Consider the following 24,987-nt stretch of genomic DNA (forward strand, 5'->3'; position numbering starts at 1 on the left):
GCCTCCTGGGTTCAAGCGATTCTCTTGCCTCAGCCTCCTGAGTAGCTTGGATTACAGGCGCCTACCACCACGCCCGGCTAATTTTTTGTATTTTTAGTAGAGACAGGGTTTCACCATGTTGGCTAGGCTGGCCTCGAACTCCTTACCTCAAGTGATCCACCCACCTCAGCCTCCCAAAGTTCTGGGATTACAGGTGTGAGCCACGGCACACGGCCAGATTGGTTGTTTTTCTGGTAATGAAAGAGAAACTATACCAAGCTACCCCATGCCCTTAGCTGGTCTTGCCTTTCAGAGTAGCATCCATTTTCACAACAGCTTGCCAGAGTTTGAGTGTGTGTAAGGTAGGTAATGGAGTGTGAATTTGATGGGTTCTTAAGGAAATCAAATCTGTTCCTTTTGGTTTTTTGGCACCATGCCACTTGAACCAGCCATGCCAGCTGAACCAGCCATACCAAGAAGTGACTTAGCACTTGGAGATTATCATCTCCTCACCCTATTTTAGAAAAGAGAAAGCTGAGAAACAGCAGTTTCTCCAAGGGTCAACAACAAATTAAGAGGGCTTAAAAAAATAAAACATACACACTCTTAGCCCCAGAGTCACCCTTACCATTGTTTACCTACAAAGCCCCTTCCTTTTTTACTTTTTGATGAATGATGTGCATATCTTGTTAGTTCATTTATCCAACAAATACTTAATCAGTGATTACTACACCTTAGGCATTGTGTTATGTATACAATGGTGATAGTGTTGTGAAGGAAAAGAAATGGGGATAAGGTACTTGGTACCTGTGTACAATGAGGGTTTCTCTTGGATGCTATGGGAGAATGGGCAGGGAGGTTTCTCAGCTTGCAGACCCTTTATTTCCAAGTGGTCTACTGACATATGGAGGCCAGCGTATGAGGGGCAGTCCCGGAAGTCACTCTTTTTTTTTTTTTTTTTTTTGGAGATAGAGTTTTGCTCTTATTGCCCAAGCTGGAGTGCAGTGGTGCGATCTCAGCTCACTGCAACCTCCGCCTCCCAGGTTCAAGCTATTCTGCCTCAGCCTTCTGAGTAGCTGGAATTACAGATGCATGCCACCACACCCAGCTAATTTTTTGTATTTTTAGTAGAAATGGGGTTTCACCATGTTAGCCAGCCTGCTCTTGAACTCCTGACCTCAGGTGATCTGCCTGCCTTGGCCTCCCAGTGCTGGGATTACAGGCATGAGCTACCACACGCAGCACTCAGAAGAACACTCAGAACACTCTTATCTGAGTGTTCTTCATGATCCGCAAAGGACAAGTTAAGTAATTTTACACGCACAGATAAATTGGTGCTCCAGGCTTAGGACAGAGGGATATGCTGGCCTCCATATGACGGTAGACCACTTGGAAATAAAGGGTCTGCAAGCTGAGAAACCTCCCTGCCCACTCTCTCATAGCATCCAAGAGAAACCCTCATTGTACACAGGTAACAGTTTATTATAGGGAAAAATCTTGACCTAGACTGGAATGTGAACATTCCCCCACCGTTGAAAAACTCTTTTGAGCCGGGCATGGTGGCTCATGCCTGTAATCCCAGCACTTTGGGAGGCTGAGGTGGGTGGATCACCTGAGGTCAGGAGTTCAAGACCAGCCTGGCCAACATGGTGAAACCCCCTCTGTACTAAAAATACAAAAAATTAGCTGGGCATGGTGGCGTGCACCTGTAGTCCCAGTTACTCAGGAGGCTGAAGCAGGAGAATTGCTTGAACCCCAGAGGCGGAGGTTGCAGTGAGCTGAGATACCGCCACTGCACTCCAGCCTGGGGAACAGAGCGAAACTCTGTCTAAAAAAAAAAAATGGAAAGAAAAACTTTTGAGGTTTGAGGTTGAGGATGTGGCTAAACTGTGTCACAAACCAGAAAGTCAATGCATTTTTTAGTTCCTTAACTCAATTTCAAGAATAGACAGTTTAGTGCTCCAAAGTCCTGTTGCCTTCTTTATGAAAAAACTGACTTCTGGGGAGTTGGAAGAGCAGGCCTGGTTGCTTAGACTTCAAAGTAAAACCAGTAAATAGATAGGATGGGGCTAGAATAAGTATTATGGTTGTTTGGGAGGTCTTGTTTTTTTGGTTATTGTACTTATTTATTTTTAAAAATTATATGTGTGCCAGCCGGGCGCGGTGGCTTACATTGAAGCAGGAAGAGCCACAGACAAAACTCCTCAGACACCGAGTTAACGAAGGATGGGGTTTATTAGGCCGGGGGCATCAGCAAGACTCCTGTCTCAAGAGCTGAGCTCCCCGAGTGAGCAATTCCTGTCCCTTTTAAGGGCTAACAACTCTAAGGGGGTATGCGTGAGAGGGTCGTGATCAATTGAGCAAGCAGGGGGTACATGACTGGGGGCTGCATGTGTCGGTAATTAGATCGTCACAAAACAGGATAGGGATTTTCACAGTGCTTTTCTATACAATGTCTGTAATCTATAGATAACATAACCAATTAGGTCAGGGGTCGATCTTTAACTACCAGGCCCAGGGTGTGGCGCCGGGCTGTCTGCTTGTGGATTTCATTTCTGCCTTTTAGTTTTTACTTTTTTTTTCTTTGGAGACAGAAATTGGGCATAAGACAACATGAGGGGTGGTCTCCTCCCTTAATGTCTGTAATCCTAGCACTTTGGGAGGCCGAGGTGGGCTCATCACGAGGTTAGGAGATCGAGACCATCCTTTCTAACACGGTGAAACCCTGTGTCTACTAAAAATTCAAAAAACTGGCCGGGCATGGTGGCAGGCGTCTGTAGTGCCAGCTACTCGGGAGGCCGAGGCAGGAGAATGGCATGAACCTGGGAGGCAGAGGTTGCAGTGAGCCGAGATCGCGCCACTGCACTCCAGCCTGGGGGACAAAGCGAGACTCTGTCTTAAAAAATATATATATATATAACAATTACATGTGTGCCTGTATGTGTACACAATCTTCCAGCATATACCAATAGCTGAATTTGTAAGATATTATATAGTATTTGCATGTGTATAGCTCTTTCTTCATCTTCTGTGTACAACTGAAATATTTTTTTCATGTCCTAGTAAAACCCTAAATTGAGAATTACGGACTCACTAAATGTTAGACCAGCTAGTCATTTAGAAAACAGTGCATGTGATTTGTTTAAGGGGCAGGAAGTATTAGGTGTCAACAATTAAAATCACTTTGTTTCTTTTTTTTTTTTGAGACGGAGTCTCACTCTGTGTCCCAGGCTGGAGTGCAGTGGCGCAATCTGGCAATCTTGGCTCACTGCAAACTCGGCCTCCCGGGTTCCTGCCATTCTCCTGCCTCAGCCTCCTGAGTAGCTGGGACTACAGGCACCCGCCACCACGCCCGGCTAATTTTTTGTGTTTTTAGTAGAGACGGGGTTTCACCATGTTAGCCAGGATGGTCTCAATCTCCTGACATCATGATCCACCCACCTCTGCCTCCCAAAGTGCTGGGATTACAGGCATGAGCCACTGTGCCCGGCCCACTTTGTTTCCTTTATGTACTGTTTTTGACTCCAAAATGGTTTCTCTTTTTTTTTTTTTTTTTGACAGTCTCACTCTGTCCCCCAGGCTGGAGTGCAGTGGCATGATCTTGGCTCACTGCAACCTCTGCCTCCTGGGTTCAAGCGGTTCTCCTGCCTCAGCCTCCTGAGTAGCTGGGATTACAGGTGCCTGCCATCGTGCCCGGGTAATTTTCGTATTTTTAGTAGAGACAGGGTTTCACAATGTTGGCCAGATTGGTCTCGAACTCCTGACCTCAGGTGATCCACCTGCCTCAGCCTCCCAAAGTGTTGAGATTACAGGTGTAAGCCACAGTGCCCGGCCTTTTTTCTTTGCTTTGCTTTGCTTTTTTTTTTTTTTTTTTTTTTTTAAACGGAGTTTCACTCTTCTTGCCCAGGCTAGAGTGCAGTGGCATGATCTTGGCTCACTGAGACCTCCGCTCCCAGGTTCAAGCAATTTTCCTGCCTCAGCCTCCCAAGTAGCTGGGATTGCAGGCATGTGCCACCACGCCCAGCTAATTTTGTATTTTTAGTAAAGATGGGGTTTCTCCATCTTGGTCAAGCTGGTCTCGAATTCCTAACCTCAGGTGATCCACCTGCCTCAGCTTCCCAAAGTGCTGGGATTACAGGTGTGAGCCACCATGCCTGGCTTTTTTTGCTTGTTTGTTTTAATAGAGACAGTCTCACTATATTGCCCAGGCTGGACTTGAACTCCTGGCTCAAGCAATCCTCTCACCTCAGCCTCCTGAACAGCTAGGACTACAGGCATGCACTACCCTAGTTTCCTATTTCGTTGTTGTTGTTGTTGTCATTGTTATTGTTTTGAGGCAGGGGCTTGCTCTGTTGCCCAGGCTGGGGTGCAGTGGCACAATCTTGGCTCGCTGCAGCCTAGACCTCCCAGGCTCAAGCCATCTTCCCATCTCAGCTTCCCGAGTAGCTGGGACTGCAGGTGAGCACCACCACGCCCAGCTAATTTTTGTAGTTTTCTGTAGAGATGGGGTTTTGCCATGTTGCCCAGGTTGGTCATGAACTCCTGGACTCAAAAGATCCACCCGCCTCTGCCTTCCAAAGTGCTGGGATTACAGGTGTGAGCCACTGTGCCCAGCCACAACTTTCCTATTCTTGATCACATTTTATCTGTACTATAACCTAGAAAGGTGAAACACAGTGTATTATCCCCATTTATAGCTAGGGATCCAAACTTGTTTGCTGTCTTCCAAATGTGGGTTGCATTTTTCTGTTTCTTTGTTGTTACTCATGCTGTTTCCTTCACCTAGAATGCCCTCACTCAAAAACTCACTTGTCGAAATCCTAATCCTCTTTGAGGGCTAATCTAAGATTCTTCTCATTCCTTGAAGTTTTCTTTATTTTCCTAACCAGTTGCATCTCTCCCTGTTTTGAACCCGAGAGCATTTTGCACTTCTTATTCGATTCATTTGGCAGTCATTTGTATACTCCTCTATCCTCTCTATTGGATTGGGACCCTTTTTAAGGTTGTACCAGGAAAAAAAAACCCACAACTACAACAGTAATAACTATATAACTAACTATAACTAACGTCTCTTAAACCCTTTATGCAGACTCTGTGCTAAGTACTTTGTCATTCAACATGCATCAACTTTGTGTGAAGTGCCTACAATGGCAGACACTGATTTAAGGGCTGGACATCTTACATTATTTCACTTATGCCTCACAAAAAACTAAATGGGGTAGATGTTATTTTTAGCCCCAATTTACAGATAAGGAAACAGGCACAGAGCCAGCAGATTATATAAATTGCCCAATGCCACAAATTTAATAGGTGGTGAAGCTGGAATTTGAACGCCACCATTCTAATTTAGAACCCATGCTTGTCACTACTGCATGTCAAATAATTTTCTCTCATTCCCATCCCCAGGTCCTAGCAGAGTATCTTATGTATGGAAGGTCCTGATAATTATAGGATAAATGGGATTGAATATAGAAGATGAAATCCAGAGAGATGGACTTTCCTAAAGTCATAGGGCTTGTTGGGATGAAAAATCTAGAATTTAACAGTTCCCAGCTCAGGCTATTTTATCTAGGCTGCCTTGCTTATTTAAGTCATTTAGAGAAAGGGGAACTAAAGTAGCTATAAGCCTCTGTTCATGTGAGGGTTGTGGTGCCTGTGGTGAAGAAGTTAAAGATATTGTCAGAAAATTCTCGTAGCATAGGAAGTTGTGACTGAGATGGCTCGAAGTGAAACAGAAAGCAAGTTGTGTAATCTCAGTATTTGTCAGGATTTTGCTTTTCCTGACTTGCTTTGCACAGAATGTTCCCTGGATGAAAGCCCAGAAATCACCAACATTTCAGACAATGCTTTCTGAGCCTTACTCTGTTCCACATTTCATAACAGGACCCCTACCATGGAGGAGACCATCAAAGATCCCCCCACATCAGCTGTCTTGCTGGATCACTGTCATTTCTCTCAGGTCATCTTTAACAGTGTGGAGAAGTTCTACATCCCTGGAGGGGACGTCACATGTCATTATACCTTCACCCAGCATTTCATCCCTCGTCGAAAGGATTGGATTGGCATCTTTAGAGTAAGTGGTTAATTCAGTACCAAGTGATCAGGAACTAGAGGTGATTCTTAGTTACCTAACTGTGTGACTCTCTGTGTATTATAAGCATTTTGTATAATATGTGTTGGCAGTTTTTAAATTCTAGCCAAGCTCCACAGCACTTCTCTCTTCACACATTAATGTGTGCTGTGGGACTCAAATTTTCATTTCAGTGTCAAGCTAAAATAAGATGGCAAATCATATAATCCTCAAATTTTGTTATGCTTTTTTTTTTGCTTTTTTCTTTTCTTTTTTTTTTTTTTTTTTTGAAATAGAGTCTTGCTCTGTCACCTAGGCTGGAGTGCAATGGCACGATTTGTCTCACTGCTACCTCCACCTCCCGGGTTCAAGCAGTTCTCCTGCCTCAGCATCCCGAGTAGCTGAGATTACAGGTAGCTGCCACCACATCTGGCTAATTTTTGTATTTTTAGTAAAGACGAGGTTTCACCATGTTGGCCAGGCTGGTCTCAAACTCCTGATCTCAGGTGATCTGCCTGCCTCAGCCTCCCAAAGTGCTGGAATTACAGGCGTGACCCACCACGCCTGTCCTTATTATGCTGTCAAAAACCAAATATAAATACTTGCTTCTTGTTGTTGAGATAGAGTCTTGCTCTGTCTCTCAGAGTGGAGTGTAGTTCACTGCAGCCTCAACCTCCTCCCAGGCTCAGTGATCCTCCCACCTCAGCCTTTTCAGTAGCTGGGACTACAGGTATGCAGAACAATGCCTAACTGATTTCTTTCTTTTTTTTTTTTTCTTTGAGACGGAGTCTCATTGCCCAGGCTGAAGTACAGTGGTGCAATCTCGGCTCACTGCAACCCCCACCTCCCAGGTTCAAGCGATTCTCCTGCCTCAGCCTCCAGAGTAGCTGGGATTATAGGCGAATGCCACCACACCCTGCTAATTTTTGTATTTTTAGAAGAAACCAGGTTTCACCATGTTGGTCAGGCTGGTCTTGAATTCCTGACCTTGTGATCTGCCCGCCTCAGCCTCCCAAATTAAATGCTTTTTACATGATCCTATTTTGAAATATTTATGTATGACTTGACTGAGATGGCTGACCTCATATGTCATTTCTGAGACTAAACATTACTTCCTTACTTGGTATGATGTTTAGTTTGTTTTGATACAAATACCTCAAATCTGGAAAGGATATTGAGGATATTGACATCCTGTATCCAAAAAGTTTATTCCTGAATAAGTGCGTCTGACTACTTTATAATGATTTCCAAGGACTGAAAGTTTATGAGCTCTCTTAGTGACCTCTTCCAGTGTCTGATCACCCCGTCAGTTCAAGTACAGAATGGTATTTTTAAATTTTAATTAGCTTACTCTCTATGTCCCCTTTGCCCTCCCATCCGTGTCTTTCCCTCTTATACATCTCACATACACCATAATGACAAATCTTCTTATTTCCAGAGACAAGAAATAAAGGTCAAATTTAATTAATTTACACTGCCAACTCCCAACGTCAGTGACCTTTGGTTTGACACCTCAGTATGTCATGTGCCTATTTGCCAGTGCTATTCATCCTGAAATCAGACACCATTCTCAACTGCACTGTGAAGGAGCTGTTGCTTATTTATATCCTTCATTGAATTCCTTTTCCATAATTGTTTGGAACATCAAGCTTATTGATGAGCAACGGAAGCTGGAGGTAACAAGACTGGTGTTTGGAGATAGGGATTGTGGCCAACCAGCAGGACACTGGCAAGTATCATGACAGCTGTTGAGACTGCAAGGTGTTGAATCATCAGACTAAAAGGCGTGCCAACCCACCAGAGTGTTTTCTGTCTTAGAAAGAAGATGGTAGTTGTTTTTCTTCCTCATATGTAGCAAAGCGTATAGGTCACATTGCCTGGTAAGAGTTTTCTGCAATGGAGCTGTAGCTTCACTGTCTAGTACAGCTGCTACTAGCCACATGTGGCTGTTAAGCACTTGAAATGTGGTTAGTGTGACTAAGTAACTGGATTTAATTTAATTTAATTTATTTATTTAGAGACAGAGTTTCGTTCTGTTGCCCAGGCTGGAGTGCAATGGCGCAATCTCGGCTCACCGCAACCTCCGCCTCCCAGGTTCAAGCGATTCTCCTGCCTCAGCCTCCCGAGTAGCTGGGATTACAGGCATGTGCCACCACGCCTGGCTAATTTTGTATTTTTAGTAGAGATAGGGTTTCTCCATGCTGGTCAGGCTGGTCTCGAACTCCCCACCTCAGGTAATCCGCCTGCCTCGGCCTCCCAAAGTGCTGGGATTACAGGTGTGAGCCACCGCACCCGGCCTGAGTAACTGGATTTTAAATTTTACTTAATGTTAATTAAAGTTTAAATAGCTTCATGTGGCTAGTGGCTATCATTGGTTAATGCAGGTACAGATCATGAAAAAGAGAATGATTCAAAAATTACTTACCAGACTTTAAAACGTAGTTTATAACGTCTTTTTTTTTTCTTTTTGGAACATCGTTATATTTCTATTTTGCTTAGACTGGTTGTATTCCCCCAAGCGCTTAGCAACCACCAGTAAAGACTTCACCATATATCATATGAAAATCTTGGGCGTTTTTCTTTTTTTAAGATGGAGTTTTGCTCTTGTCACCCAGGCTGGAGTGCAATGGCGCGATCTTGGCTCACTGCAACCTCTGCCTCCCTGGTTCAAGCGATTCTCCTGCCTCAGCCTCCCAGGTAGCTGAGATTACAGGCACCCCGCCTCCCCAGTTCAAGCGATTTCCTGTCTCAGCCTCCCGAGTAGCTGGGATGACAGGGACCCACCACCATGCGCAGCTAATTTTTGTATTTTTAGTAGAGACAGGGTTTCATCACGTTGGCCAGGCTGGTCTGGAACTTCTGACCTCAGATGATGCACCCACCTCAGCCTCCCAAAGTGCTGGGATTACAGGCGTGAGCTACCGCGCCCGGCCAATCTGGGGCCTTTTAAAAACAAGTGTTTAAAAATATTTTGTCCAGGTGCGGTGGCTCACGCCTGTAATCCCAGGAGGGAGGCCAAGGCAGATGGATCACTTAAGGTCAGGAGTTCAAGACCAGCCTGGCGAACATGGTGAAACCCCATCTCTACTAAAAATACAAAAATTAGCCAGGCGTGGTGGCACCCACCTGTAGTCCCAGCTACTCAGGAGGCTGAGGCAGGAGAATTGCTTGAACCCAAGAGGCAGAGGTTGCAGTGAGCCAAGATTATGCCACTGCACTCCAGCCTGGGCAACAGAGCAAGACTCCATCTCAAAAAAAAAATTTTTTTTAAAGATGTATCTATATTTGGAATGCTTCATACATTTCAGAGGTATTACCATACCCCAATAAAGAAATAATCGTTAATCTGAAGAAGGGCTTCTAATGTCCCTTGTCCATAAAGCTATTGACTTGAATACCTACCCTGAGGACACACTATGCTAGGCCTATGTTGAGGGTGTGTGTGTGTGTGTGTGTGTGTGTGTGTATTGCCTAATTAAATCCTCACTGTGTGTGTGTGTGTGTGTGTGTGTGTGTGTGTGTGTGTGTGTGTGTGTGTATTGCCTAATTAAATCCTCACAGTGGGCCAGGTGCTGTGGCTCATGCCTGTAATCCCAGCACTTTAAGAGGCCGAGGCAGGTGGATCACCTGAGCTAGGGAGTTCAAGACCAGCCGGACCAACATGGAGAAACCCTGTCTCTACTAAAAATACAAAATTAGCCAGGCGTGGTGGCACATGCCTGTAATCCCAGCTACTTGGGAGGCTGAGGCAAGAGAATCCCTTGAACCCAGGAGGCGGAGGTTGCAGTGAGCCAAGATCATGCCATTGCACTCCAGCCTGGGCAACAGAGCGAGACTCCATCTCAAAAAAAAAAAAAAAAGAAAAGAAAAGAAAGAAAAATTCTCACAGTGCAGTAGCCCCCTGAGGTGGGTAGTAGTATCTCTTGGGCATAAGTAAGTAACATGAATATCCCTGAGAGATGGTGACTTTCCCAAGGCCTCACAGTGAATAAGCCGTGAAGCAGGTTTGGCTCCCAAACCTCTGGTTTTTCCTCCTCTACTCTGCTGAATTCCTTTGAGCAACAGATAGTAAATTAGAGAATGAAGAGTTGGCTGTAAAGTTTCGTCCTTTGCAGCTCACCTCAAATGCTCTCCCCAGTGTTCTTTCAGTGTAGTCTTAATCAGACTATTCAACTCCTCATCACCCCAGACACTGGTAGTATCTGGCACCAGGTAGGTACTCAGTAACTCTTTTTATTTTTTATTTATTTTTTAAAATTTATTTTATTTTGAGACAGAGTCTTGCTCTGTCACCCAGGCTGGAGTGCAGAGGTGCAATCTGGGCTCACTGCAACCTCTGCCTCCTGGGTTCCAGTGATTCTCGTGTCTCAGCCACTGAGTAACTGGGATTATAGGCATGCACCACTGTGCCCAGTCAGTAAATATTTTTAATACATACAAATATGTTACATCTTCTCTATAGTGAAAGCCACCACCAATGATGGAGCCTAAAGCAGGAAGCAGTCTGCTTTCCTTCCCTCAGTGTATAATCCTATGCTTCATACTCTCCTTGACTTAGGCATTTAAATGTTTCCAAGACAAATTGGAACAAGAACTACTCAAATGGAGGAGCCAAGGACAGAAATTGCAGGTGGCTAGAAGTTGTTTCCCTGTTCCAAGGCAGCAATAATTCTTAGGCCTTCCCAATGATATTTTGGTCACAGTGCATTAAGAAACTCCAGGATGTGAATGAGGACTCCATAAAATTCCTGCTTCCTGTACCACCGCAGGCTGCAGTGGCTCTGAGATGCTTACAGCAATGGGGTGTGTATTAATGAGACTCTAAAACATGCCCTAGGATGTTCTGATGAGTTTTTGGTATAGACTTTTCAACCCTGCTTTGATTCCTTAATATATAAAAATGGAATTTATTTTTAGTTCTCTTCTTACTGAGCTCAGACAGGGTCAAAATATGGCAATAAATGTAATTTTGCTTCTCATTTGCTGAGTGTTGTCCCCTTGAAGACACAATAGCTTCCTTTCTATTCTCTGGTGTGCTTTTATTTTCTAGATAAGATTTGAGCAATCTTTTACCCCCTTCACATTTGTGAGAATATTTTCCACTTAGCCAGCTTTCTGCTCTGAGGCGTGTTTTGCTGCATCCTTATGTCTTATGATTTATTGTATTCAATACCTAGAAGAGGCCTTTACGACTACCAGATTGTTGTTAATATCTTTATTACCAAAAAGCCATCATTAAGCATGCATGAAGAAAAAAAATTATATAGACCTGGAATCTCTTATCTGGTGCCTCATAATCTAAGAACCCTGTTCTCCCTCTGCCCCCAACACAGACATTATGAAAAATAATGGGTTTTTTTTTAATGCAGTAGTATATCCAGGTTGGTATATGACAAGGCTTAATTGGACACAATAGAGGACACACCAATAGAGAGGGCAGGTCAGAAGTGATTTCTGATTTAGAAGTCCAAAGAATGCCATTGTAAGAGGATCAGGGTTCATATTCCCGCAACTTTCCCCTTAAATCAGTCTCAGCTCTATCTCTGACTTGTAGATAGAATTTTTGGAGCTTTTTTCCTGGGTGGTGAGGAGCTAGTTTTCAAATCCTTCTAAGACTTGTATTTTGAGCTGTGTATGTGCACCCCAATTTTTGGTTGTATCAGACATTTTCCCATATGTATTTGTCATAAGTGAAAAATAAAATAAAAAATTAAAAAAGGTTTGAGCCCTGGCGTGAGAATCTTGTCATAATGAACTCATTCTATTATATTTTCTTTTTTCTTTTTTTGGAGACGGAGTCTCACTCTGTCACCCAGGCTGGAGTGCAGTGGTGCAATCTCGGCTCACTGCAACCTCCGCCTCCTGGGTTCAAGCAATTCTCCTGCCTCAACCTCCTGAGTAGCTGGGATTACAGGCGCACACCACCGTGCCAACTTATTTTTTGTATTTTAATGGAGACGGGTTTTCACCATGTTGCCCAGGCTGGTCTCAAACTACTGAGCTCAGGCAATCCACCCACCTTGGCCTCCCAAAGTGCTAGGATTACAGGCATGAGCCACTGCACCCGGCCTATATTTTCAATATATACAAATAAAAAGTGATTTTAAGAAGATGTAGCCCAATTAGGATTTTCCCCAGTCCCCTTTCAGGTACTAAATAAGAACTTCTTGTCATTGCAGGTGGGGTGGAAGACAACCCGTGAGTATTACACCTTCATGTGGGTTACTTTGCCCATTGACCTAAACAACAAATCAGCTAAACAGCAGGAAGTCCAATTCAAAGGTGAGAAAAATACTGGATCAAAGGTGTTGAAGACAGTAGCCAAGACTAATTAATTCCCTTCAGCTTGAGCTTTCTGGGGCAGATAAAAAGATTTCCAGAATTTTACTTTTCTGAATAGATCTTATTTTGGATGAAAAATTATGTTGTGTTTTCAGCTTACTACCTGCCCAAGGATGATGAGTATTACCAGTTCTGCTATGTGGATGAGGATGGTGTGGTCCGGGGAGCAAGTATTCCTTTCCAATTCCGTCCAGAAAATGAGGAAGACATCCTGGTTGTTACCACTCAGGTTTGTAAAACTTCTCACCTCAATCCCTTACTGCCATTACGGGTAGCAATATAGGATAGGATGGAATTTGAGTTAATAAGGCTTTATTGAATATCTAACGGGTATCATTGGAAAAAATGTATGTAGTACTCACACAGACTCACTCAGGAATGACTTCGGAATGTTAACAAGACTCATAACAATAAGTGGTTTCTTCTTTTCTAAAACTTCTTTAACTCAGCTGGCATTCAGTTATTCTTTTAACTTTCCAATTGCTTAATTTTTGTCATCTACACATCTTATCACAATGGTAAATGTAAAAGCTCCTTTGAGGAGAGAAGCACCAAATATTCTTATCTCTTTCAGTTCTGGCCTACAGCCTGTCTGTCATACGTGAGTATTAGATTCATTTTCTTACTTCATCATTTAACAGGACACCTACTTTTCATCCAGCACTATGGTAGGCACTGGGAACACAATGAAGAATCAGTTAAAACACTGTCCTTGGCCTCAAGGAGCTAAGTCCATTGGGAGAGACAAACAATACTAAGCGTCTGCAAGAAGAAGCTACATTCTTATATCATTGTTCCTTTTAATTTTAATGGATATAATTTTTGCTTGCCTTTCTTGGTATTGCTGCAATTATAAAGACATACCTCTGTTATACCCTTACCTAGGTATTAAGGAGCAGCCCCCATCTGGGATACATAGGTGTCACTGCAGTGAATGGGAATCAGCCAGTCCCTCACCATCCTAACCTATGGGAATTTTCTGCTAGAGGGACTTGGAATATAGTTTATGGAATGTTCTTTTGTAGGGAGAGGTGGAAGAGATTGAGCAGCACAACAAGGAGCTTTGCAAAGAAAACCAGGAGCTGAAGGACAGCTGTATCAGCCTCCAGAAGCAGAACTCAGACATGCAGGCTGAGCTCCAAAAGAAGCAGGTATGGCTGCTGGTTATAGGTGACCTTGGAGCATGGAGATCAGAATTGGATGGTGCCTCTTATCCAGCACCATATTCTGTTTTGCCTGTGATCTCACCTTCTTATACCAGTATCTTTGAACAGGCATTAGTTTTGTTTGTTTGTTTGAAATGGAGTCTCACTGTGTCACCCAGGCTGGAGTGCAAGGGTGCGATCCTGGCTCACTGCAACCCCCATCTCCCAGGTTCAAGCGATTCTCCTGCCTCAGCCTCCCGAGTAGCTGGGATTACAGGTGATCACCACCACACCCAGCCAATTTTTATATTTTTTAGAGACAGGGTTTTACCATGTTGGCCAGGCTGGTCTCGCACTCCTGGCCTCAGGTGATCCACTCGCCTGAGCTTCCCAAAGTGCTGGGATTATAGGCATGAGCCACCGTCCCTGTCTGAATATCTCCTTTTAATTGTTCATATGTTGAAATGATATTTTAGGTACATTCGGTTAAATATACTATCATTTGGCCAGGTGCAGTGGCTCACACCTGTAATACCAGCACTTTGGGAGGCCAAGATGGGTGGATCACTTGAGGTCAGGAGTTCGAGACCAGCCTGGCCAATATGACAAAACCCCGTCTCTACTAAAAATACAAAAATTAGCCAGGAGACCGGGCGTGGTGGCTCATGCCTGTAATCTCAGCACTTTGGGAGGCCGAGGCAGGTGGATCACAAGGTCAGGAGTTTGAGACCAGCCTGGCCAAGATGGTGAAACCCCGTCTCTACTAAAAATACAAAAATTAGCCAAGCATGGTGGTAGGCACCTGTAATCCAAGCTACTCAGGAGGCTGAGGCAGGAGAATTGCTTGAACCTGGGAGGCAGAGGTTGCAGTGAGCCAAGATCACACCCCTGCACTCTAGCCTGGGCAACAGAGCAAGACTCTGTCTCAAAAAAAAATTAGCCAGGCATGGTGGCATGCGCCTGTAATCCCGGCTACTCAGGAGGCTGAGGCAAGATAATTGCTTGAACCCGGGAGGCAGAGATTGCAGTGAGCCAAGATCACGCCACTGCACTCCAGCCTGAGCAACAGAGCAAGACTTTATCTCAAAAAAAATTAAAAACAAAAAATATATATATATGCATACACATAGTATTATTAAAATTAGTCTGTTTCTTTTTACCTTTTTAAAAATGTGCCTCCTAAGATTTTAAAATTATATGTAGCTCTCACTTATTGAACAGCGCTGTTCTAGGAAAAGGGCAGTTCTGTCTATTTTGTCCACTGTTGTGTCTGCAATGCAAGAACAGTGTCTAGTGTGGAATAGGCTCTCAGTAAATATTTGTTTAATGAACAAATTATAAGCTCCAGTGGAATGAGAAATTAAGGTGATGCATTTTTAATATAAAAAGAGCATTTTGTGACCAGGCGCAGTGGCTCATGCCTGTAATCCCAGCACTTTGGGAGGCTGAGGCACAACAATTGCGTGAACCCGGGCGACAGAGGTTGCAGTGAGCCAAGACTGCGCCACTGCACTCCAGCCTGGGCAATAGAGTGAGACACTGTCTTAAAAAAAAAAAAAAAAGAACATTTTCCTTTTATTTGAGTATTTCATTTACTGCTGTGTCATGCTATGCCTGACATATAGTAAGTGCTCAATAAATATTTGTTGCCTGCCTAAGATACTCATTCAAAAGTCATAGAACTAGTCTGTCCCTTTGATGTTGTTTCAATCTATAGGAGGAGCTAGAAACCCTACAGAGCATCAATAAGAAGTTGGAACTGAAAGTGAAAGAACAGAAGGACTATTGGGAGACAGAGCTGCTTCAGTGAGTGCATCCCATAATTCTGGGAGGGGAAGAGCTGCTGTACCATCAGTACCCTTAAGTACAGTCAGATTAGATTTCTGGAATTTGTGAGAAAACACTGTTATGACATTGATGATGTGATTCTCCACCCTTTGAATCATGAATTAGAAAATTGGTATCAGAATAGTCAGGAAAAATGATCTGATTTCAAATATTAACTTTAGGGATTGAATACTTGCAGTTTTTTGGAGTCAGGAAGCCAAAACAGGACTGCAATGGAGACTAGTAGATTTTTAAATAATTCTGCAGGCTTAGGGCCAAGCCAGCCTTAAATCACTTAAGGCCAGGGGTAGCTGACCTGGAATCAGTGAATTTTTCACATAGTTATCTCCACCTCTACAGACTGAAAGAACAAAACCAGAAGATGTCCTCAGAAAATGAGAAGATGGGAATCAGAGTGGATCAGCTTCAGGTAGGTAATGCCATATGTTTGTCAAAGGATATTTTCTTAGCCTTACCACTGCTCCAATTTGGTGGCCTAGAAAGATGTATTTCATTGCAGTGAGTGCCTAATGGCATACTTTTCAAAGTATCACACTAAAGTTTCAGGTTATGTATTTTCCATTCTTGGACCAGGTAAGCCTCCACCCTACCCATGCCCCTGCTTTTAAAAAAAAAAAAATCATGATTCACAGCCGGGCGCAGTGGCTCATGTCTGTAATCCCAGCACTTTGGGAGGCCAAGGCAGGTGGATCACCTGAGGTCAGGAGTTCGAGATCAGCCTGGCCAATATGGCAAAACCCCGTCTCTACTAAAAATACAAAAATTAGCTGGGCGTGCTAATTTACAGGCGCACGTGTAATTCCAGCTACTCGGGAGGCTGAGGCAGAAGAATCACTTGAGCCCCGGAGGCAAAGGTTGCAGTGAATAGAGATTGCACCACTGCACTCCAGCCTGGGTGACAGAGCAAGACTCTGTCTCAAGAGAAAAAAAAAAAAAAATCATGATTCACAAGGAACTTAGTGATTTGTTCATGTATTACTAAGGTAGTTTACCATGAGCTCTTAATATAGATGACAATCATCTATATCAATAATCAAACTTTAATCTTTTCAAGCAAAATCGTACTCAAAAGTCTGGAATATAGAGCAGATAGCAGAACTGCTCTCATTTTTAGGAAGCTATGCCTTAAAGAGGTGCTTTAAAGAGTGATTTGTCTAATTTTACTCAGTTGGCAGTTGGGAGTTGCTAGGGAAACACATCTCTTTGTTATTGTACGTTAAAAAGCATTGTTCCTGTTTTGTTTTCCTTCTTTTATATCTTGGTTATGTTCACTATTTTTGTTTTAGGCCCAGCTGTCAACTCAAGAGAAAGAAATGGAGAAGCTTGTTCAGGGAGATCAAGATAAGACAGAGCAGTTAGAGCAGCTGAAAAAGGAAAATGACCACCTCTTTCTCAGTTTAACTGAACAGGTAGAGTCATGAGAGAAAACAACACTTTTAGGCATTTGCAAGAAAATATACGTTGTTCTTTGTATAAAGAACATTTTAATGTTCTTTAATATACCTGGATGTCACTGGCTTTAGGAAAGGGCTCAGAGGAAGCTATCTGAAATGAGATAGCTCATGGCTTTCTTCAGAAACTGACGAGAGAAGACTTGCCTCTCCCTATGCATCCTGCTTGCTCATTAGCTTAGCAGGCCCTTCCATGGTGTGTGTGTGCATGTGTGTGTTTTCCCAGCAATGGTACTGAAATCTCTTTTTGTGCAGAGGAAGGACCAGAAGAAGCTCGAGCAGACAGTGGAGCAAATGAAGCAGAATGAAACTACTGCAATGAAGAAACAACAGGAATTAATGGCATGTCTGTCTTTGGATGGTTATGTGGGAGGGAGCCTATAGGGATGTAGAAGAAAAGGATATGGGCCTATTTTCCGGTTGATGGACAGGATAAATAAGAGAGTGTTCACCTCTAGATGTTTTGCTTTCTAGCCAAAAGGACAGAGAATCTGCCATTTATAAAATGTTTAGAAGTGGGCATTTCTAATATGTGATAAGTAATAAAGGAATATTGCAAGTTAAACTTCATGACAAGATGTAGTTAACTAGATCCTTGGACTAGGGCTCACACAGAATAACCCCTACCCTCTTCTTACAGAGTTACAATAGGGGCAGACAAATGAATGGTTATAAAGGGCTCTACGACAGGAAAATATACCACCCAAAGCAAATCTTGTTATAATTAATATATTAGCAATTATCATCATTATCAATTATGTAGGAATGAAAGGCTAATTGACTAATAATTTCCTGTAATATATTGTTGAAAAAGAGTCCCCAGGGCGTTGACAGGTGCCTGGAAGCCCCGTTTACTTAGTTGATCCAAGGACATGAGTAATCCTGATGTCTGAGGGATATCCAGTCATCTGATTATAATTCACATCATATATGCATCATCCAGTCAACCATTGAGTACCTACTGTATCTAAGATACTGTATGCTTTAGCATGATATAGGAAAGAGTAGAACAAAGTTTGCAAATCAGCAGATCATAGGTCAAGGTCAGACCACAGAAATGTTTTAGAAAGTAGTTACCAACATTTAAAAATAGGAATATTTCCCATAAAAATTTGTATTTCCAACTTCCTTTGGGAAATGAAGGGACCTAGCAACATTGAGCCCACATTCCTGTGCAGCAGCAATAGCTAGAGCTGAGTAGCTGCTGTCCCTATAGATTCTCCATCTAGCTGCAGTCTGCACTGTTTTATTGCATTCAGTTCCTTCGTTTGATTACATTTCTTGCCTGCTCTCTATAGGCACATTCCAGTTTGTGACCTCTGATGTAGCAAATAAATTACTGTTTTAAATGATCTATAGTCCCGGCTGGGTGCGGTGGCTCGCGCCTGTAATCCCAGCACTTTGGGAGGCGGAGGCAGGTGGATCACCTGAGGTCAGGAGTTCGAGACCAGCCTGACCAAAATGGAGAAACCCCGTCTCTACGAAAAATACAAAAATTAGCCGGGCATGGTGGTGGGCGCCTGTAATCCCAGCTTCTCAGGAGGCTGAGGCAGGAGAATCGCTTGAACCTGGGAGGCGGAGGGTGCAGTGAGCTGAGATCGCGCCATTGCACTCCAGCTGGGGCGACAGAGCGAGACTCCGTCTCAAAAAAAAAAAAAAAAAGGTTTGAACCTCTTTGTGATAGGTATGGATTTCCTTGGTTTTCTTTTATTTATATATATATATATTTTTTTTTTTTTTTTTTTTTTTTTTTTTGAGACAGTCTTGCTCTGTCACCCAGGTTGGAGTGCGCTGACCTGATCTCAGCTCACTGCGACCTCCACCTCCCGGGCTCAAGCTATTCTCCTGCCTCAGCCTCCTGAGTAGCTGGGATTACAGGCACCCGCCACGATGCCCGGCTAATTTTTGTATTTTTAGTAGAGACGGGGTTTTGCCATGTTGGCTAGGCTGGTCTCAAACTCCTGACCTCTGGTGATCCACCCACCTCGGCCTCCCAAAGTGCTGGGATTACAGGTGTGAGCCACTGCACCCGGCCAATTTTCTTAGTTTTCATGGAATATTTTTCAAGACCTAGGGGCTCCCCACCTGGCTGATAGCAATCCTAATTCCTCATACATCCTAAAAGGCCGCTAAATATGAGTACTGTGTATCTTATGCTTCAGGAGCCTAGGAACAAGAAAGCGGCACTAACTGTGGAGGAGCAGTTAGCACAAGAGGTGGAACGCCTTAAGGCAAAGGTAGAGGCCAGGAAAGCCTATTTCTTAGAGAAGTACAAAGAGTGTCAATGACTTCACAAACAGATCAGCCAACTCGGGGCGGCTGCACTGGTAGGTGACAGAGATAAGGGGGCCCAGGAAAGCAAGAGGTGCAAAGGTTAGTGGTTCTTAGACCAAGTCCAGAAAATGGTACACCCTTGTTAAGGTGAGAAAGTTATCTTTGCACTAAAAAGAGGGATGTAGTGTATGGCCAGAAACTAGCATGGGGGTCCCTGGAAATACTGGCCCCAACTTAGCCACAGGTCTCAGGGAAGGTTTTTGTAACTATCAAGCAGGTTTCTGTGCAGACTCAGAGAGCCCTTTCTTATTTCTGCCTTTTGAGGAAGTGAAGCAGGACTAGAAGAGCCATCAGGAGCCAACGGGGATGGGAAGCAAGGAGCCTGCAGTCAGCATTGTCACTGGGTAGCCCCCTCTGGCATTACTACCTCAGGGTCGGCTAGACATGCACAGCAGTTTGGGCACCAGCATTCAAATAAAAAATCTTGGATGAAAAACCACAACTAGTAGGCTTAGCTTAAGTGTGTTTGTGAGGTATGCACATGTGTATGTATGCAGGTAGAAGATGGGAAGCTCTGAAGCATGAAACCAGTTAGGTCAACCCATCACACTGGGTTGCTTATGGCCCCAGTCTGAGCTCCTTGTATCCTTGGACAAATGCCTTCCTGTGTTCCCTCTTCCTTCATGTAACTTGAGCCGAGATGCCTATTCTCACACTGTAGGAAGGAATCACACTAACCCAAACCTAAGTGCTTCAGGCTTCGCTGAGTGAGACGTTTATTCAAAACAAAGATTATTGTTTTCATGGTTAGGTGGGATTCAACAAGGTTTCATTTATCCCTAATTCTGATAAGTCAGTCTTGAGATTTTCCCCAAGGTTGCTTTTTCCCTCCTTGGTCACTTATACCCTCAGCTAAACCAAAAAAAAAAAAAAAAAAATTGGCATCTTGATGCCAGCTCAGGCCTTCAGGTGTCTTTTTAAGTCACTTTAATTTAGCACCCTGCCCATAGTACCATTTCTTCCTCCCAGTTGCGTTCTCCTCCATCTCAGTCTCCCCGCTTTGCAATGCCAGATTCTCTACAATTTCTCACCTTGTACCCAGACTGCAATATGTGATCCTAATCCTAATTTTTTTTATTGTTGACAGGATGAAAACTTTGACCTGTCAAAAAGACTGAGTGAGAACGAAATTATATGTAATGCTCTGCAGAGACAGAAAGAGAGATTGGAAGGAGAAAATGATGTAAGTGTGTGAAAGAGGGTATAAAACCCCAAGGTTTTAAGGGGAAGGATCAGGGTGGCCCAGAGATGTAGTGAAAAAAATAAAAAGTTAAGGGCCCTTTCTGGGACAGTGGGTGAAACAGTTGTTCCTAAACGAAGAGTAAATTTAATCTAATTTCCTAATCTACCACAAAACCCTGTCTTTATTCTACAACTGAAATTTGTTTGGCATGGCAATAGTCACCTTGAAAGAAGCCACACTGATGAAGACCTAACTTATTTTTGCTTTTAACTTCACAGCTAATATATGTTGCCTTGGGGGATAGGGGAATAACGTCCTACATAACTTTATGCTAGTGGGGAACTCCTTTTCTTCAGCACAACTTTTTCCTTTTTCTCTGCTGCCAAACCAGGAGCAGAAGTGGTGGTCTGTACCAGTGCTGGACCCATGGTAGGCCCCTAATAAATGCTGTGCATTCATTCATTCATTCATTCATTCATTCATTGGTTCATTCATTCATCCAACCAACATTTATTATTGATTGAAGATGATATGGCAAAAAATAAAGTGGTTGTACTTGAAGTCAAGGTCATTCTCATGTTCTTTCTTTTCTTTTTTTTTTTTTTCTTTTTTTGTTGTTGTTGTTTTTGAGACAAGGTCTCACTCTGTCACCCAGGCTTGGAGTGCAGTGGCACAAGCTTGGCTCACTGCAGCCTTGATCTCCTGGGCTCAAGTGATCGTCCTGCCACAGCCTCCCAAGTAGCTGGGACTATAGGCATATGCCACCATGCCCGGCTAATTTTTTTTTTATTTTTAGTAGAGACAAGGTCTTGCTGTGTTGCCCAAGCTGCTCTCAAACTCCTGGGCTCAAGCAATCCTCCTGCCTCGGCCTCCCAAAGTGCTGGGATTACAGACATGACCCACCACGCCCGGCCCATTCTCATGTTCTTGCTCAGCATCAAATAATAGGTGTCCATGCATTCTGGCTGCTACTCCTGTATCTATACTTCCATCAATTCTTCATCTTTACCCTTTTTTTTTTTTTTTTGAGACGGAGTTTCACTCTTCTTGCCTAGGCTGGAGTGCGATGGCACGATCTCAGCTCACCGCAACCTCCACCTTCCGGGTTCAAGCGATTCCCCTGCCTCAGCCTCCTGAGTAGCTGGGATTACAGGCAATTGCCACCACGCCTGGCTAGTTTTGTATTTTTAGTAGAGACGGGGTTTCTCCATGTTGGTCAGGCTGGTCTCGAACTCCTGACCTGAGGTGATCCACCCGCCTTGGCCTCCCAAAGTGCTGGGATTACAGGCGTGAGCCACTGCACCCGGCCCTTTTTTTTTTTTTTTTTTTTTTTGAGACGGAGTCTCACTCTGTTGCCCAGCCTGGAGTGCAGTGGCATGATCGTGACTCACTACAACCTCCACCTCCTGATCTTTACCCTCTATAATCCTTCTGGCCTATGCCTCCTAGTGATCATTTTTACTATTTTTTTCTTTTTAAAATTGCGGTTAAAACACATAAAATTTGGCTGGGCGCGGTGGCTCACGCCTGTAATCCTAGCACTTTGGGAGGCCAAGGCAGGTGGATCACAAGGTCAGGAGATCGAGACCATCCTGGCTAACACAGTGAAACCCCGTCTCTACTAAAAATACAAAAAAAAAATTAGCGAGCTTGGTGGCAGGCGCCTATAGTCCCAGCTACTCAGGAGGCTGAGGCAGGAAAATGGCGTGAACCCAGGAGGTGGAGCTTGCAGTGAGCCAAGATCGTGCCACTGCACTCCAGCCTGGCTGACAGAGCAAGACTACATCAATAGAATAGAATAGAATAGAATAGAATAGAATAGAATAGAATAGAATAGAATAGAATAGAATAGAATAGAAAATAGAATAGAATAGAATAGAATAGAATTTTACCATCTTAATAATGTAAAAGTGTACAGTTCAGTAGAGTTAAGTGCATCACAGTGCTATGCAACAGATCTCCAGAACTTTTCCATCTTGCAACATTAAAACTTCATACCTACTAAAACATTAATTCTCCCTCACTTTCTACTTTTGATTATATCATTTATGCCAATGTGTTTCATAATTGCAGAAGGCTTTTTGGGTTCTCTTTCTAGTCTTGTTATTCCCATTCTCTCTTTTTTGTTTTGTTTTGCTTTTGTTTTGTTTGTTTGTTTGTTTTTTAGAGTCTTGCTCTGTTATCCAGGCTGGAGTGCAGTGGCACCATCTTGGCTCACTGCAACCTCCACCTCCCAGATTCAAGTGATTCTTGTGCTTCAGCCTCCTGAGTAGCTAGGATTGCAGGTGCGCACCACCACACCCAGCTAATTTTTGTGTTTTTAGTAGAGAGGGGGTTTCACCATGTTGCCCAAGCTGGTGTTGAACTCCTGGGCTCAAGCAATCCGCCCACCTCAGCCTCCCAAAGTGATGGGATTACAGGCATAAGCCACTGTGTCCGGCCTATTCCCATTCTCTTAATTTATACCTTGAGTTTGAAATCCCTGTTTTCCTGAGTTAGTTTGATTGTGGGGGGGGGCAGGTGCACACACAGTTTGCAAAACAAAGGGAAAGATTTGGTATTTGGAAGCTTTGTTAAGAACTGTAGGCCGGGTGCTGTGGCTCACGCCTGTAATCCCAGCACTTTGGGAGGCCGAGGCGGGTGGATCACGAGGTCAGGAGTTCAAGACCAGCCTGGTGAAACCTCATCTCTACTAAAAATACAAAAAAGTAGCCAGGTGTGGTGGTGCATGCCTGTAATCCCAGCTACTCAGGAGGCTGAGGCAGGAGAATCGCTTGAACCCGGGAAGTGGAAGGTTGCAGTGAGCTGAGATCGCACCACTACACTCCAGCCTGGGCGACAGAGCAAGACTCTGTCTCAAAAAAAAAAAAAAAAAAAAAAAAAAAAGAACTGTAGTAAAGCCCTCTTAAGATGATAAGGGAATTTTGCTTATTTTCTTTTTCCTAAGAACTTGAAATGCTGTCTGTGCCACTTTTAGTAATTTTTTTCTCTTTTTCATTACCTCCCTCCCACCCTGTCTTCTTACTCATTCTCTGTGTTGATATATCCATTTGAATGGGATAAGACCTGAAGAAGGAAAAATTATTTTAGGTGAATATTTGCATTGTGTAAGAAATTATTCTAGGAAAGAAACTGAAAAAATATTCTGCTCTCAATAATATACAACACTGGGAGGCCAAGGCAGGAAGGTCACTTGAAGCCAGGAGTTTGAAACCAGCCTGGGCAACAAAGCAAGAGCCTTTCATCTCTACAAAAAATTTAAAAATCAGCCAGGCACGGTGTCGTGTGCCTGTAGTCCCAGCTACTAAGGAGGCTGAGGTGGGAGGGTTGCTTGAGCCCATGAGTTCAAGGCTGCAGTAAGCTATGATCTCACCCCGCACTCCAGCCTGGGTGACCAAGCAAGACCCTGTCTCTAAAAAAAACAAATTTAACAACAACAATAATAATATACAATAGTTTCAACGTTAATATACCTATCAGAATAGTTGCAGTGTTAATATAGCTCCTGCCACTTTCATATATCTACATATTTGTTCCTCCCTGTAGTTGGCATGTATTTAGAGATTTAAAACTTTTTTGTATTAATATAAACAAAATGTAGTAAATATATTTAAATTCAGGTATAGGCTGGGCACAGTGGCTCACACCTGTAATCTCGACACTTTGGGAGGCCAAGGCGGGCGGATCACTTGTGGTCAGGAGTTCGAGACCAGCCCGGCCAACATGGTGAAACCCGTCTCTACTAAAAATACAGAAATTAGCTAGGCGTGGTAGTGGGTGCCTGTAATCCCAGCTACTTGGGAGGCTGAGGCACAAGAATCACTTGAACCTGGGAGACGGAGGTTGCAGTGAGCCGAGATGGTGCCACTGCACTCTGGCCTGGGTGACAGAGCAAGACTCTGACTCAAAATAAATAAATAAATAAATTCAGGTATAAAGAACTTAGATCTTTGGAATATTGAAACTGCTGCCTTCTCTTCTGAAGAATTATGGATTATCAATTATTGAGTTTCTCCAGTGCCACATTGCTAATTGAGAACTACCTGGGAGGGGCATCTCCTAGCCAGTTCCTGGTGGCCATTCTTGGTATTGTCTTTCAACATGTCTATAAATCCTCTATCCTTAGCTTTTGAAGAGGGAGAACAGCAGATTGCTCAGTTACATGGGTCTGGATTTTAATTCTTTGCCGTATCAAGTACCTACTTCAGATGAAGGAGGCGCAAGACAAAATCCAGGACTTGCCTATGGAAACCCATATTCTGGTAAGACAACTTTCCCATTCCAACTGGAAGGACCCTGCCTGCATCCCTTTCCCCTACTAAATTTTTGTTTCTGAGGTGCTAATTAAGACCAGTCTCATTGTTAAGACTTGCTGGGCAGAAGCTGAGGACCCAGTAGAAAGATTGCCAGGCGAGAAGTGTTAATTGAGAAATAAATCTGAATCCAGAAGACACAAATCAGATCATTCGCCTAGAGGCAGCAGACACAAATTGAGTCCCGTGGCTATATTCCAAATGTGTAAATCAGAGAAATGTCTTTATGTAGAAGATATACACATACAAAGCTGAGGAAGCTAATTAAGGTTTTGAAATGGTAGCAAGAGAGGCAAGTTATGCCGCCCAGGAACTAGCAGTT

General features: G+C 43.5%; 1 protein-coding gene across 7 annotated transcripts in view, besides 1 other annotated feature; it reads left to right on the forward strand.

Moving 5' to 3' along the window:
* Positions 1-24,987, forward strand: part of CALCOCO2 (calcium binding and coiled-coil domain 2) — a 34,211-nt gene that overhangs the window by 4,801 nt on the left and 4,423 nt on the right. The window contains exons 2-12 of one of the 7 annotated variants that reach the window (NM_001261391.2): positions 5,863-6,052; positions 10,199-10,261; positions 12,229-12,331; positions 12,487-12,620; positions 13,417-13,542; positions 15,254-15,342; positions 15,724-15,793; positions 16,671-16,793; positions 17,091-17,177; positions 20,257-20,352; positions 24,479-24,614. In NM_001261391.2, the coding sequence (NP_001248320.1) occupies positions 5,873-6,052; positions 10,199-10,261; positions 12,229-12,331; positions 12,487-12,620; positions 13,417-13,542; positions 15,254-15,342; positions 15,724-15,793; positions 16,671-16,793; positions 17,091-17,177; positions 20,257-20,352; positions 24,479-24,614 (1,207 nt within the window). In that variant the 5' untranslated portion in view covers positions 5,863-5,872. Of the gene's footprint in view, positions 1-5,862; positions 6,053-8,172; positions 8,192-10,198; positions 10,262-10,607; positions 10,680-10,833; positions 10,853-12,228; positions 12,332-12,486; positions 12,621-13,416; positions 13,543-15,253; positions 15,343-15,723; positions 15,794-16,670; positions 16,794-17,090; positions 17,178-20,256; positions 20,353-24,478; positions 24,615-24,987 lie in introns of those variants that run through there. The other 6 variants (NM_001261390.2, NM_005831.5, XM_047435100.1 and 3 more) reach the window with 6 other exon arrangements.
* Positions 5,805-5,994: an enhancer, noted in NCBI's record as "active region_12340". NCBI's record gives its function as "activates an Ori minimal core promoter by ATAC-STARR-seq in GM12878 lymphoblastoid cells {active_cell/tissue: GM12878}" and the evidence as "EXISTENCE:reporter gene assay evidence [ECO:0000049][PMID:35858748]".

The sequence above is a fragment of the Homo sapiens genome, chromosome 17 (genome assembly GCF_000001405.40).
Source record: "Homo sapiens chromosome 17, GRCh38.p14 Primary Assembly".
Lineage (NCBI taxonomy): Eukaryota > Metazoa > Chordata > Mammalia > Primates > Hominidae > Homo > Homo sapiens.